General features: G+C 35.8%; 1 protein-coding gene across 6 annotated transcripts in view; it reads right to left on the reverse strand.

Moving 5' to 3' along the window:
• HGF (hepatocyte growth factor) overlaps positions 1-15,502 on the reverse strand; it is a 71,038-nt gene that overhangs the window by 38,994 nt on the left and 16,542 nt on the right. Inside the window, exons 5-9 of one of the 6 annotated variants that reach the window (XM_047420293.1) lie at positions 14,117-14,259; positions 6,997-7,117; positions 5,350-5,468; positions 4,906-4,946; positions 3,996-4,350 (exon numbers count right to left, since the gene is read on the reverse strand). In XM_047420293.1, coding sequence (XP_047276249.1) covers positions 4,939-4,946; positions 5,350-5,468; positions 6,997-7,117; positions 14,117-14,259 — 391 coding nt within the window. In that variant the 3' untranslated portion in view covers positions 3,996-4,350; positions 4,906-4,938. Of the gene's footprint in view, positions 1-3,995; positions 4,351-4,687; positions 4,947-5,349; positions 5,469-6,996; positions 7,118-12,896; positions 14,260-15,502 lie in introns of those variants that run through there. The other 5 variants (NM_001010933.3, NM_001010931.3, NM_001010932.3 and 2 more) reach the window with 5 other exon arrangements.

The following is a 15,502-nucleotide window of genomic DNA, read 5'->3' on the forward strand; positions in this document are numbered from 1 at the left end:
TACTTAAAGTGGCAGCTAAATGATGAGAACACATGGACACATAGAGGGGAACAATAGACTGGGGCCCACCAGAGGGTGGTGGATAGGAGAAGGGAGAGGATCAGGAAAAATAACTAATGGGTACTAAGTTTAATGCCTGGGTGACAAAATAATCTTTGCAACAAAACCCCATGACACAGGTTTACCTACATGACAAACCTGCACATTTATGCCTGAATTTAAAACTTACAGAAAAAATACAATAAATTTAACAAACATTATTATTTGTCTCTGAAAAGCAGGAAACTAATATATAGAACCAACTGTTATTCAGAATATGAAGTTATAATCAGAGAAAAACATAAAAAAATCAGTACTTCATTCAAGCACTATGCAGGACTTCCAATTTTATTACATATTCGTGATGTCTTAAAATTCCATGTGCCCAAAACGCTGTTAAAATTTTATACACAGAATATTTGTGGGCTGATGACATTTAGGTATATATCCCCTCCTGAGAAATACAGTGTGAAGGAAGTCTGAAAAGGCCCATCCCAGAGCACCCTGGCACACATTTGTCAGACAATGAGCAACATTAATTCTTTACTTTTAGTGATACATTGATTGTAACATAGAAGCTTGGAAGCAAAGTGACTAGAACACATTTGTAGTTCAGCTTTTGAACAAATAAAAGGAGAGCAGTATTCAAACGTTGGCTGGCAGATGTGAATATCCTAATATTAAGGCAGTGTCATCTTTTTCTTTACTGGTTTGTGTTAAAAATTCTGAATTTTCTATCTTGTTATAGGCCTTGGTCTGTTTTATTCACTTCTGTATCCCCAGCTACTAGAAAAGTGTTTATTTGACATATAATAGCTGCTCAGAAAATATTTATTCAATGAATGCTATGGAGAAAGGGGCAAACAACCCTCTTTGTGTTCTCAACATGCTGGGTGGAATTGCTGATGCCCAAGGCTTTTGCTATCCCTGTTCACTTGTGACTTTCCTTGACTTTCCGGAGAAGAATGAACTTAGATGTGCTATGAACAAGGATGCCAAGCACCTGCATCTCAATATAAGCAGAACTAAACCTGTGATCTTTCTCCTCAAATTAATGCCTCTCTTATATATATGTCATCTACCCAATAATTTTAAAATATTTTAGGCTTTTCTCTCTCCCTATCCCATTTCCTAGTATAACCAATTTGTCATTATATACTGTACATTCCCCCTTTTGATATTGTTCACATCCTTCCCCACCTTGTTTTTCTCACTGCTTACTGCCTTAATCACACTCTTTATTTCTTACTGGCCTGTGTTGTATTTTGTGTTGAATAGTCTTTTATTCTTCACCTCATCATACTTCTCTGAAAGCTTTTTATTCATTGAAATTACATTTTAAGATGTCTTGTGACCTAAGGTTTTAAGAGAAAAATACACACATACAGTGGACACATGCACGTATGTATACACATATATAGTGTATAGAGATACAATTATCAGTACTCCATAAATTATAAACAGCATGAATATATGTTTAATGTATTTTCAAAGATCTTTTTGTTTAGTGTCCCCAGGGTTTTTAAACCCCAGGGCAATGAGCTACAGTAAAATTCAGGTAAAGTAGGAAAGAGCGGCAGTGTGGGAGGGTAGAGGTGTTGACATGCCTGGCTTCTGAGAAACACATGTATCTCAAGAAGGGACCTTTGGGAAAGAATTCACCTGAGAGAAGAAGAGGTGGAACTTGAGCCCCTTAAGCAATCTATGCCCAAAGGCCCCTAAGAGAGTCTTTGTGTTTTCCTGGGTCTCATGGACACCAGTTTAGAGATCACTATTCTAGATCACAAATGAGGTAAGATCCCTCCCTTTGCTTAATTTTTCAGTGTTTCTCATGGCAACTGAATGGGCTACTCTTGGATCTTACTTGATCTGCCTCATATCAACTTAATTTTTCTCAACTTCTTTCAGTTTTCTGTTTTTACCCCATACCCTACCCATATCAATCATGTACCTTGTCTTGAATTACCATACTGCTCCAGCCATCCATCTCTTTACCCCCTTCCTCACTGGCCTAATTGCAACCATTTGCTAAGAATGAAATAAGGATTGTTAACTCTACAATGGAAAGCACCTCTTTGTGGGTGTTAAATAAATGATATTAATTATGATTTTCTAATACAGTTAGTATATGATAAAACACGAGTTTAGAAATTCCCCTCCAACTTTCTAGAGAGTAAGTGACATAATCATTATCTTTATTCTTTGTTTTGGAAACATTGAAAACCCAGAATGAGTTCAGCTGGACTGGACTAAGAGAAAACCAGAAAACTGGCCCAGTTAATGATACGAATAAAAAATAATAATTAATTATCTCTTACAACCAGTACAAGTAAATACATGTGTGGTCCCCCAGATCCCCACCAACTTGTGTACACACTGCATAATCTTCTCCCCTTGGGTATGGATGAAACTTTTGAATACAATGAGAACTACTCTTGTGATTAGGTTATATTATACAACAAAGATGAAGAGATTTTGCATATGTAATTAAAGTCCCTAATCAGTTGACTATAAGTGAATTAAAAGGGAAATTAACCTAGGCAGGACTGACCTAATTAGGTTAGCTCTTTAAAAGAGAGTCTGGAGGTCAAAAGCTCAAAGCAGGAGAGATGCTATCCTGTTGGCAGGAGTAAACTGCCATATTGTAGAGAGGGTTATGTGTCAGAGAAAGTTAGGCAGTCTCTAGAAGAATTAAACTGCAGCCTTAAAACCACAGGAAACTGAATTCTGTCAAAACTAGTGAACTTTAAATGCAACATGGAGTTTTAGATGAGACCTGAGGTGAGGTAGGCACCTTGATCAGGACCTTTTGAGACCCTAGCAAGGAGCCTGCCTGAGTTATGGCTGGACTCCTGACCTACAGAAAATATAAGATAATAAACGTGTGTTGTTGTTAGCCTCTAAGGTTTTGGTAATTTGTTATGCCACAATAGAAAATCAATGCACAATTGAATCCACCACCAAATTTTTGGTTTTGCATTATAGGCTTTACTATATATGTGAACCAAAACATTTAAAAGAATATTCATAAAACATTATCTCTTATGGTTTCCAGAATGTCAATTTTATTTCATCCACTTTAATAGAAGTATCGTCTCTTTATAGTCATATCTATATCTCTTTCATATATGTATTTTTTAAACTAAAAGCTATCCTTTAATAAAATATTTCCAAAATATTCCCAAAGCTCAGAAGACTTTTTAAATTTGAGTGATATAGGTTTGGCTTACAAATTCTGGTATCATTTTTTTAGAATTAACACCCTATAAACTCTATCCTCTGCTTAACAAAGACATTGGAATTATATAGCATGTTACTTGCATAACTAGCCAGCTCCTTTTTGGACAGAAGAGAAAAAAGAAACCTACTTAATAGCTAGCCAGTGTCATAGTCATTCTATTTCTTGCCTCTCTCAGTCTCTTTTTAAAAATACCCTAAAGATTGGTTTGGAACTGAAGAGGAGGGCAACATTTGGATTTCTTGGTGTGTGCATGCCAGTTGGGTGAATATGCAGGTGAGTGTGTATGTGTGTGTGTGTGTCTGTGTGTGTGTGTGTGTGTGTGTGTGTGTGTATAGGTTTTATTCCAGAGAAAATTTATAAGAGTACCTAAACCGGCCAGGCCTGGTGGCTCATGCCTGTAATCCCAGCACTTTGGGAGGCCGAGGCAGGCAGATCACCTGAGGTCGGGAGTTCGAGACCAGCCTGACCAACATAGAGAAACCCTGTCTCTACTAAAAATACAAAATTAGCTGAGTTTGGTGGTGCATGCCTGTAATCCCAGCTTCTCAGGAGGCTGAGGCAGGAGAATCACTTGAACCCAGGAGGCGGAAGTTGTGGCGAGCTGAGATTGTGCCATTGCACTCCAGCTTGGACAACAAGAGTGAAACTCCATCTCAAAAAAAAAAAAAAAAAAAAAAAGAGTACCTAAACCACACATACATACACACACAAAAAATCAGAAGGGAAACAGTTGGTTTATTATACCTAACTGGTGTAGAACAATGGAAAGACTAATACAATTTAAAAAGCAATGAGTGGAACCAACCCAATCTATGCAGAGAAACACTGTCACAGGAGTCATCTTTTATTTTAAAGGACAAAACACATGATTCAATTTCCTTGGAACACAGTGTTTTACTCTGAAAGGCTTCCAGATTCTTCAGTTATTTATTGTTGTCCAAAGTATTAAGAGTTGTCCAAAACATTTCCTTTTATTAGCAGGTCTAGATTGAGAGAGATTTACCTCGGCAGTACCATAGTGTGGATAATATTCAGTTAGGTTTGTTCAGAGGAACTTCCCCATCATTCTGCTATAGTGAAATATATGAAAATCAATCCATGCCCTCTTAATTATATATTTTACTCTAGGTGCTGGTGCCTGATCTTATGTAGGTTATTTAGCTTTACATGTCTGTCCATATATACATAACTTTATATTATCAGGCCAATTTATAACATTATTATACCTTACTAAATTTATGCAATTCTATTGATTTTAAAGAATTTTAATATCCAGTTGAAAAAAATTAGCCCTGTATTCAAAGAAATGAAAACATTATGTAATATTGTTTAAGAGAACAGTGAAAATGTGTGACTTAACCATAGAGGAGAGGACCAAGTTCACAGATTGAAAGGAACAATATAAAACACGTTAAAAAATAGTTTTTATTGTAAATTCAGAAAAGCTAGGTAAGGGCCAGCATGTAGAAAAATGATTGTATGGACTGCTAAAAGACAGATCGAAACAGAATGCAGGCTGGGTACAAAGACAGCGAGAGAGGTAGGGATCAGCTATAAAGATTAGAGACATCTGTGATAAACTTCTATTAGACTCATTATTCTTCACTGCAGCCTCTGTCACTCACCAGAAGAAGTTCACCATCAGTTGAGAGCCCATGTTATGTCTCTGGGGAGGAAAGGTAGGTAAAGGATACAGGATTGGAAGGTAAGGAACTAAGGTCCTAGCTTTTACTCCCCTAATGACTTTGTGATGCTGCACACATTTCCGATCTTTTTCTCTCTCTGTGGTTTTTTAAATTTTCTTGATAACATTAGAATGTTTAGGCTCTTGCCATAAGTAAAAATGTTTTCTATGGATGTGTGTATTTGCATATTTATCACAGTCAAAATAATCAGTCTCCAAAAATGCAAAAGATTGGGTAGGATTATGTAACACATTCTTAAAATATTAAAACCTGCACACATTAAAGCATCAAGTTAAATAGTTGTTAACCTGTCTCACTAATAATCGCCTGCTTAGATCCAGTCTGTGAGAGGAAAAGGAAGCAATAAATTTGACCTTCACTTACCGCATGTTTTAATTGCACAGTACTCCCAGCGGGTGTGAGGGTCAAGAGTATAGCACCATGGCCTCGGCTGGCCATCGGGATTGCGGCAATAATTATCATCAAAGCCCTTGTCGGGATATCTGCAAACCACACCAAGAAAAGTGTCACGTAAATCTGCCTGGAAACACCACCCACCCCTCAGCTCACAAAATAACTTTCCACTTAGGTTGTCTACACCTAGCTGGGGAAAGAGGACGTTTTCTATGTTTTGCCTTACGAGGACTGCTGATCACTGACTATTGAATCTACTAATTTATATATCCCACTAAGGACAGAGTATCATCCCCTGGCTAATAAGTTAGGTCTATGTGGTACCTTTCCACTAGCTGAGGTTCCAAATCGAGTCTCTTTCTCTTAGAACCCACTTAAGGGCAGATTACAAAAACATGACTTCATGTAGAATGCTCATTAAGAAAACAGGTCCTCTTCTAGGGAAGGCTTAAAGTTCAAACTGAAAGTTCAGTTTCAATAGCGCTGTTACTAATGATAACTCAGTTTTGGAAATAGAGCCCTTCGAGGTCATGCCCTCACCTTCACCAGATCATGAGACAAACTTCATCACACTACTTTCTCCACACCCCACCTCCCTTCAAATGAACAGAGTCCTGAATTGGTGACTTGATTTTAATTGCTACCATATCCCTTCTGCTCTCACTTAAACGACAAGACAAGCATTTATTTGGAAAATAAGCTGGAGTTTTAATTTCATTAAAAATAACACCAAACAAAAAAGAATAGAGAAAAAGAACAAAGAAAAAACACCTAACAGCAATTTCCAAAGAAAGGTGGGGGACGGAATTTCCTGTGTAATTATTTGTATTTTTATTCTTTATAATCAAAATAAATGAACTTCTTCCTTTTTTTTCCACCTTAAAAGTTTCATGTAAAATACATGGGCAAAAGTAGACATGATTTTTTTTTTTTTTTTGGCGGAGATGGGTAATAATTTAAGCTCAAAACCTATTCCTGGGGATAAAAGATAGATTAGTTGCCTGACTTCTCCAAATTGGCTTTTTATATGGGCAATTTCAAAACACACCAGGACAAAGCAACCTGAATGGTTTGCTCTACTTTTTACTCCCTATGACCACTACTTATGTCATGCTGTTATGTGTGTGGCCTGCAGTACCTGAGTCTCTGAAGATGCTGCTCCAGAAGGAGATTTGCCTGCAATTAGTAACAATACCTCTAATCACAGCTAAGACTTGTCAAAGTGGTCATTACTGAATTGGTCCTGTGGTTTGCTTTGGTTTTGTTTTGTTTCTGCTCTGAGAGAGAAAGAAGCTTCTTTTTGTGCTTCCACTCTATACCCTGCTGATGATTTTGTGTTCAGTACCATGCTGATTTTAGAAACTCTGACCAGTTGGCTATGTAGTCAGTGTTCTCATGTACCTCATCATAAATCTTTTTGCCCTTAGACTATTTCCTCCAAATATAATGGCCAGAAATTCTGTCAGAAGAACTCCTGAACATTCTGGGAGTTCTAAATGTTATGTTCATGTCCTATCGGGAAAACATAATATAAAGAGAATTTCCACAGCAGTGTGTCATAGAGTGAATAATAGTTTGTAAAAGAATCACTGAAAGCATGATTCATTAATATTTTACCTTTCAGGCAAGAATTTGTGCCGGTGTGGTGTCTGATGATCCCAGCGCTGACAAATCTTGCCTGATTCTGTATGATCCATGAGACCTCGATAACTCTCCCCATTGCAGGTCATGCATTCAACTAATAAAATTAAAGTATGGCATGTTAATTGTTTCTGACAGCAAAATCAAAAACACCACTGTTGCATTTAAAGAACAGCACCTGTTTAGTAAACAGATTTTTAAAAAATCCTACACATCATTCTAACTTTTTATTAGGGCCTAATGTCTATAAATAGTGACATAAACTACTCCCTATAGAACACATCATACAGTTTAAGTGGGATTTTTGTACTTAGTGTCACACAGATTTACTATAGGGCCACGACGCTGTCTATCTATTTTTTCAATAACTGTCTCAAAGGTATCTAGAAAATGGAAATAAAAGACAGATCCTTGGAAATTTTTCCCGTGTTGGTCTAAAATGCAAAGATCTCAGTATCTATTTGTCAGCACAATAGTGTTTCTCTCTCAATTTGCCCTCCAAATACATACACAGGAAATACAAAGTTTAATTGAGTTTGTGTCATACTTTTATGGTTAATGACATAATCAAGACCACATAGATTTAAGAGACTGGCTTCATATAGAAATCTGGTGCAATTCAAAGAATACGGATATTTTTAAAAAATAAATCACAGCTCCTTTCTGTTAGCGAACATCCATGTTGAATAAGCTGGGCAGGTTTACATTCCTGTCTGGCTTAGGATAGAAGATGACCTGCTATTGAACTCCATGTTCCCACTCTTTTTAAAATGTATAAGCTAATGTAATTAGGTAGGCTCTTACTGATGATTTTGTGAGGTTAATTCATTGTTCTCTTCTGGCTGGCCTCTTATGTCACACAGAAAACTGAATCACATCAATTGCTGAAAGTGAGACTTCTCAAACAGACAGGTTGATTTGTAGCACAGAAAGCATCCTGTGGAATAAATCATTGCTTGGCTTTCCTATGAATCAGGCAAACTTCCTTAAACACATCATTTGTATCTTGCAATTACTGATCATCTAACTTTAGCTGAAGTGGGAAGAGGCATCAATGTTTAGTTTTATCCAACGGAATCTAGCCTAATGAGTATTTGTAGTAATTTGGGATTATAGTATTAGAATCATCACTTTTGAATCCTTGATTCTTATAATCTAATAGGGACATTAACTATTAACTTTCTGAAACATGCAACAACTTGGCTTGATCCATCTGCTTTCCTTCATTTATATTAATACATTAGCTAAGAGGCCAACTCGGCTTCCCTTCATTTGATACTGAGATTTTCCAGACTACACCCAATAAGCACCTGAACTGTAAATGAGTGGAGTCCATGAGCATATCAATAAAGGTGCTCAGGTTGGCCAGGGTCATAGCAGTGCTCAACATAGGTGATGCAATGTTACATTTCAGCTTTCCATTTGAATGCTTAACAGGTTCATTTAGGTATCTCTCTCTTTTTTTAAAGAACACAAATTTTGATACCGTCAAAGAAAATGATGCAGCATTTATCGTTATTTGTTCCTTCGTGTTGGATGAAATGTACAATAGAGTACTAGGGTCACACATAAAAGATAAGTATTCATATGTACAATTTCTACTCTTGTATAGTACTCAGGAAAGAGATTACATCTATTATGCCTCCTTCAGCAAATGCAGCTTGTGATAGTATATTCCTTTCTAACGAGGGTGAATAGAATTATTTTCTGGTAATCACTACATTGAGCAGTATTATAAAAATTTTTCCTTGACTTACACATTTTAATGGTTTTAAGAAAAAATAGCTACATGAATGAAACAGATGGTTCCATAAGATGACCACTTTCCATTATGAGTGTGGCAGATCAATGCTTGTTCAAATATGAATGTGTGCAAAAACCTCCTTGAGATCCTGTTAAGAGGCAAGTTCTGAGTCAGTGGGTCTGGGCTGGGGCACTAATAACAAGCTCCCAGGCATTGCTGCTGTTGCTGGTACTTGGACCTCACTTTGCTCTGCAACTTTCTAGATAACAGGATCTATTATAAAAGTTCTGGCCAGGCACGGTGGCTCACGCCTGTAATCCCAGCACTTTGGGAGGCCAAGATGGGCGGATCACGAGGTCAGGAGATCGAGACCATCCTGGCTAACACGGTGAAACCCCGTCTCTACTAAAAATATAAAAAAATTAATCAGGTGTGGTGGTGGGCACCTGTAGTCCCAGCTACTCGGGAGGCTGATGCAGGAGAATGGCGTGAACCCGGGAGATGGAGCTTGCAGTGAGCCGAGATGGCACCACTGCACTCCAGCCTGGGCGACAGAGCGAGACTCCGTCTCAAAAAATAAAAAAAAGAAGTTCTAAGTATTTGGCCGTAATAGTTTTATAAGAGAGACTAGATTTTACTAGGATCTTGAATAGATGAGAGTTGGATAAATTATAAAGGGACAAAATAACATAAAATCAGAAGCATAAGTATACTATGTTGATAGTAAAGGGAAGAGAGAGTTATGATTGCAGTTGTGGGCCTAAAAATAAATAAATAAAAGTTAGCAAGAATAATGTTACATTTTAGAAAGCAATGAAAGTTATTGTTGGGGTGGGAATTAAACATGCCATGATTGAATTGAGATACTTAAATATATTACAGTTACATATTATTTGATTGTTTATACCATACTTTTAACATAAAAGGTATAGGCCAGGTGCAGTGGCTCAAGCCTGCAATCCTAGCACTTTGGGAGGCCAAGGCAGGCAGATTGCCTGAGGTCAGGAGTTTGAGACCACCTTGGGTCTGGTGGTGCGTGCCTGTAGTCCCAGCTACTTGGAAGGCTGAGGCAGGAGAATTGCTTGAACCCAGGAGGTGGAGGCTGCACTGAGCCGAGATGGTGCCACTGCACCACTCCAGCCTGGGCGACAGAGCAAGACTCTGTCTAAAAAACAAAAAACAAAAAACAAAAACAAACAAATAAATATGAAAACATGAAAAGTATCATCTGATTCTTACAGTGAGGAAAACAAGTCTCACAAAAGTTTTAAGAGACTTACCTAAAACACAAAATGTTAAACCTGAGCCAGGAACACAAATCTTCTGACCCATAGTCTTAGTATTTTTTTTGCATTATCCCAAACTGCCTTTTTGTTTTATATATTTTAACTTATTTCCTACATATTCTAACTGGTTATACTTTATGATATACTGATAGCAATAACTTTAGAAAGTTGGTATCCCTACCCTTTTCAACATTGTCCTCATTGCCCTCTGCTTTTTTGTTTACAACAGTTAACTTGCTCTCCTGTTGAAGTCTCATCTATTGGAGGAATTGCAGGGAAAGTGCATGGGAATGTAACTAGATTGGACACCTTATCCAAAGTCAATGGCTGAAAAGTTGGCTGTTTTACCACGGAATCAAGCCATCAAGTTAGTCATAAGAATTATCTCAAGAAAGCCAAATTTTTAACTCATATTCACTTTTCAAGCTTTGGGAATTCTCAGATTCTTCTAATTTTTCTTAAAGTCAAGCAGTTCAGGTGAAACCAAGTCCATGTATTCAAGGAAACAGGTGAACATATAAACGATGTAACAGTTTATATGTAGGAGTGCCCTTTGGCTCTGTCTATTGCTGTCAGTACATTATTTACCTGCTCCAGCAAGTTCTCCTCTAAAACAAAACAAAACAAAACAAAACAAAACAAGCTAACTACTGCCCTAGATAGATCACAAAAACTCACAGAGTAATGGTTTCTGTTCATCGGTTCAATATTTGTTCTAAGTACAGTTCTGGACTGAATAATAGTAGAATACTACAAAAACTGTATATGAATTAGAAAACACAGAGGATTAATTTAACAGCTTTCTCATCATACTAACCAACCAAACTTTAAAAATGTGTTTCATTTTTCTCCGTCATAAAACAGGAGTGATATGAGTATACAGACTAAAAGAGTTATTTTGAAAGTATCTGAATCTATTTTTAATTAGTGTTTGTTTTATTCCATTAAAGACAGTCTCAGAAAAATCCATACAGGTGATTACTTCAACAAAACTGAATGTTTAAAATATAAATAGTCTCACAAATTAACATATATAAATAAAAGTTTGTCAAATAAATTATGAGTTGCCATTTAATCTTTGTAACTTGCCATTTAATCTTTGTTTTTAAAAGTCTTCACACAGAGTATCGAATTATACACATAAACTTATGTCAGTATTATGTGGGATTTTAAATGTATTGTATTTTTTAAAATAATGATTATGGCTTAATTAAAATATATTTACTTGATCATTTGACAATCATTAGAAATGACATCTGTTCCAATGACCAATGATTGTTTTATTTTAAATTTCAAGCAAACGCTAAAGCAAGAAAATGGATTTTGCATACCTCAACTTTCTAAAACTTTTGAATCAAGCACTAATTATTTTCTCTGTATAACTCTATAAGGTTCTTTCTTAAAACTGTCCAATAAAAGTCTACATATTATGTACGACATGATGTTTTGAAGCATATATACATTGTCAGTGGACTAAATCAAACTAGTTAACATATGCATTACTTCACATAGCAATTTTGTGGTAAGAACATTTAACATCTAGTCTCTTAGCATTTTTTAAATGTACAATATAATATTATTATCTATAGTCACCATTCACACAATAGATCTATTGAACTTATTCCTCTTATCTAACTGGAAGGTGATAAATGTGATAGACGAATATTTGTTTTCTTTTGGAATATTGACTATATTTTCAAGTTTTAAATTATAAGAAAATAATATTAATCATTGACTATCAGATACAATTCTTTTAATTTTAAACAAATTTCAGGTGATTATATAGCCAAGTTTTAAGCATAATTACAAAAATTTCAAAAAATATATACTGTTCTATATGTCTTTTTCATTTGAACAGTCTAAAGTTTGATTATGGGTGTTTTTCTTGTTTAATTTTAAATATGCAAAATGACTTTATAGTTGCTACCTTAGCCATAATAAAATAACCTTTATAACTTACCATTTAATTTGTATCCATGGATAGAAATGGCCCATCTATTATACAACTTAAGCATTCTGGATTTTGAGGTTTCCCCCTTATATGTATTTTAGAAGAAATTTATATCATGTCACATTATTTTGTATATTTTATATTATTGATTTTATAAGTCACTCTTTTTCTCTGCCAATGTTTTGACAATGCTTCTTATTTTGGATCTTTTTCATTAAAATCCTGCTAACACATTGCTTGTGTTAGCTGGAATTTAAAATATCACAGTTTAACTCATAGTCTCCAAAATATGTTTAACCTACAGGGCAGATGTTGGTTCCCTTCTCCCACAGGAGAGTTATTCCACTATTGCCAGGCCACTAATTATTTCCAGAAAGAACATGTCTGCAACCTTTGGTGCCGCGGTGACCAATAGCATCATGTGCCATTAATACCAACGAGCAATGCCCTTTTCTAAGGGAGGTGTGATGATCTCAAATTATTAAAGATACTAGACAGTTACATTCTAATGAGATAAGAATAACTGAAAATAGGATTTATTCAAGGACTTCTTTTCTAGCACTTTTAATCTATGTCGCCTAGCAGTCCAGTCCTATGTTAAGTAAGTATATTTTGATGAATGTTTTCCTTATAAACCCGTAGTGGAAAAATCATATTCTCACAAGAACCAGGCAGGTAACGAAAATAGTAAGCTGTTTAAAGTTTGGCCAAGGTACCGGCCTTTGAAAACACGTTTTCAGGTCAAACAAAACCCCTTGTCAATGATTTTCAACCTCAGAAAACTGTAATAGGAGAGATTCCCCTAAAAGTAGGGTTTTTTTTCTTCCATGTGCAAGTTTAAGACAAATATTAATTCGTTCAGACTTATTCATACAAAACAGACTTGTTCAAAACGTGATCATAGAAAAGTTTATTATTTTTAAAAGAAAAGAAAACAATGAAGAGGTTATAGGGAACAGAATATGATATGGAATGGAAAGTAAGAATTTACAAACAGAGATGGAACTGGCTGTAGCACATAAAGTCAAGGATTTCAAATTCACTAACAACAGAAAACAAATCCTTCTCTGTGACAATTAGCTAACAGTAGCCTTTACTTTTTATGTGATAAATATCAACCTAATATTAAATGAATATTTATGGAGGAAATATTTTTAAAAATATTTGGTTAATAACAAACAGGTAAGATATCTTAGTATAAAACTTGGACAGCATTCCAGTAGTCCCCCTCCCCAAATACTCCAAAATCCTAACAATTTTCTAACAGAGTTTCATCCATGTTTCACTTAGATTTTTGGAAATTTAGAGTTTCTGACAGAACTGAAAAATCCGGCTATTCAGTAGCCAGATAACTAAGAAAAATGAAACCACATACAATGCTGAAATGGTTACTCTTCCATCTTGTCAGCCATTCAGTTTTCCACTGCAAAAGTAAGGACAATGCCCTTTTATGCTGTGAGAAGAGCTGAAAACATAGACATGGACTTAAGGTCCATAGACATGCCTTCAAGACAGTTTGGTGGTCTCCATTGCTTTGATCTCTTCAGATCCTATTCTGAATGGTACTCAGTTCCAGCCTACGTGTCACATTTGATTCTAGGCACATTTTCACCAAAATGTGCATGGGGTCAAGCTTCCAGTGATCCCTTCTTATATTGTATTATCTTCTGGGTCCATATACCCTTGTCACACCACTTCATGATAGTTTGGACAGAATTTCTGTGGAAGCAGGTGCTGGTTGAATAGAATTAACATTGCTAATGAAAGGCTAAGCTTCATTCAACTCCTTTCAGGTGCCACACAGTAGTAGATTTTGAGGTATGTGAGCTCAAGACAGTAGGTAAGTAAACCCTCTCTTTCACTTTCCCCAGAGGGATGTCTCAGGCAGTGTTGAAATTCAAACTGATAACTCGCTCTGTTATTTTGCATTAATCTGGTGATAATCCAACAGTTTTAAAAACATTGTATAAAAATGTTTAAATAATTATTTGTAGTTGCATTTGCACGAACAACATATTTGTTATGATTGATTCGTTGCTGTTAACCTTTAATGTGAGTTACAGTTCTACACATAGGGGGAATAGAATGGCCCACATGGCATTCAGGTTTATTTACCTTCTGAACACTGAGGAATGTCACAGACTTCGTAGCGTACCTCTGGATTGCTTGTGAAACACCAGGGTCCCCCTTCTTCCCCTCGAGGATTTCGACAGTAGTTTTCCTGTAGGTCTTTACCCCGATAGCTCGAAGGCAAAAAGCTAGTTTTAAAATGATAATCATTACAGTATAAGAGCATGCAACTTTTTTTTGCCTATTAATTTTACTAATTAGTGGGTATGTTTTTGCTGAAGGTAGAAAAATCCTTTATCTTATATTCCTTCATATATTTTACCTTAAAATTCTGTCATTTTCATCTGTCCTTAAAACGTTTGAATTTTATTAACATCCATTTAGCTGAATTTCCATATTCACCATCAAGTTAGAAAGATGAGCCTGTGAATTTGCTGAGTCAAACATTCTAGAACTGAATCGAAGTTGTCTGAAACATAATTTCAAAGCTCCACTAAAAGATAGCAGGTGATTGAGCAAGGCCACTTAGGACAGAACTGAGAAATCGCTGCCACTGATTTTGAAATCTCACTATTTCTTGCATTACTTATTTGAGATCATTACTTGTTTGTTTATTGCTTTTCTTATAAATAGCCCCCTTTTTTCTGCACAATTGAGAAACAGATTCATGAAGTAACATGAATAAAGAGCCCAGAATCCAGTTAAATCTGGGCTGAAACTTCAGCTCACTTTCTTACTGTGAGACCCCAGTAAGTAATTTAGCTTCTCTCAGCCTATTAGCTTACCTGTGCACTGAGTGTAACCATAACCTTTAACATCTTACACCTTATATGGTTATTTTGAGAAGCTCCAAGGGATAATAGAGTAATTGACACTTAACAAATGCTACCTCTTATTAAGCACACTCCACTTTGTAGTCTGTATCTACTGTGTCCTAATAAAGAACAGAATTGCTTATTCTCTTCAATAATTTTGATCATTTTGACTGACTGGAGCTTAGTGATCCCAGTTTTGGTTTATAATAGTAAGCCATTGAGTGCAGTAACTGCAACACATTATCTTCACTTAAAATTTCTAGTGCCCTACTCTTAGTGTTATTACCAGCATAAAGTATTTTAACACATTAGAAAAGGCCAAGTCTTTTTTATACTTTTGTACTGCTTGTGATATTGGACTCAACAATTAGATATTGCATTTGTCTGCCAGACTTTACACAAAAGATCATAATAAAGAATATACATCTACAGGTAATACCAGTAAACATTTCTTTGAAAATCCAGTTACATTTTTAATATTCAGCTTGTGTTTTGTTAACAGGCTTTATTTCTACTTTTACTGAGACCTTGAGTTCTAAATGGCACTAAAATTAGAGTGAAGTCCAAGGATTTTAGTATCTTAGTAAATACCATTCAAATGTGTTTCCTACCCAAT

The sequence above is a fragment of the Homo sapiens genome, chromosome 7, assembly GCF_000001405.40.
Source record: "Homo sapiens chromosome 7, GRCh38.p14 Primary Assembly".
Classification (NCBI taxonomy): domain Eukaryota; kingdom Metazoa; phylum Chordata; class Mammalia; order Primates; family Hominidae; genus Homo; species Homo sapiens.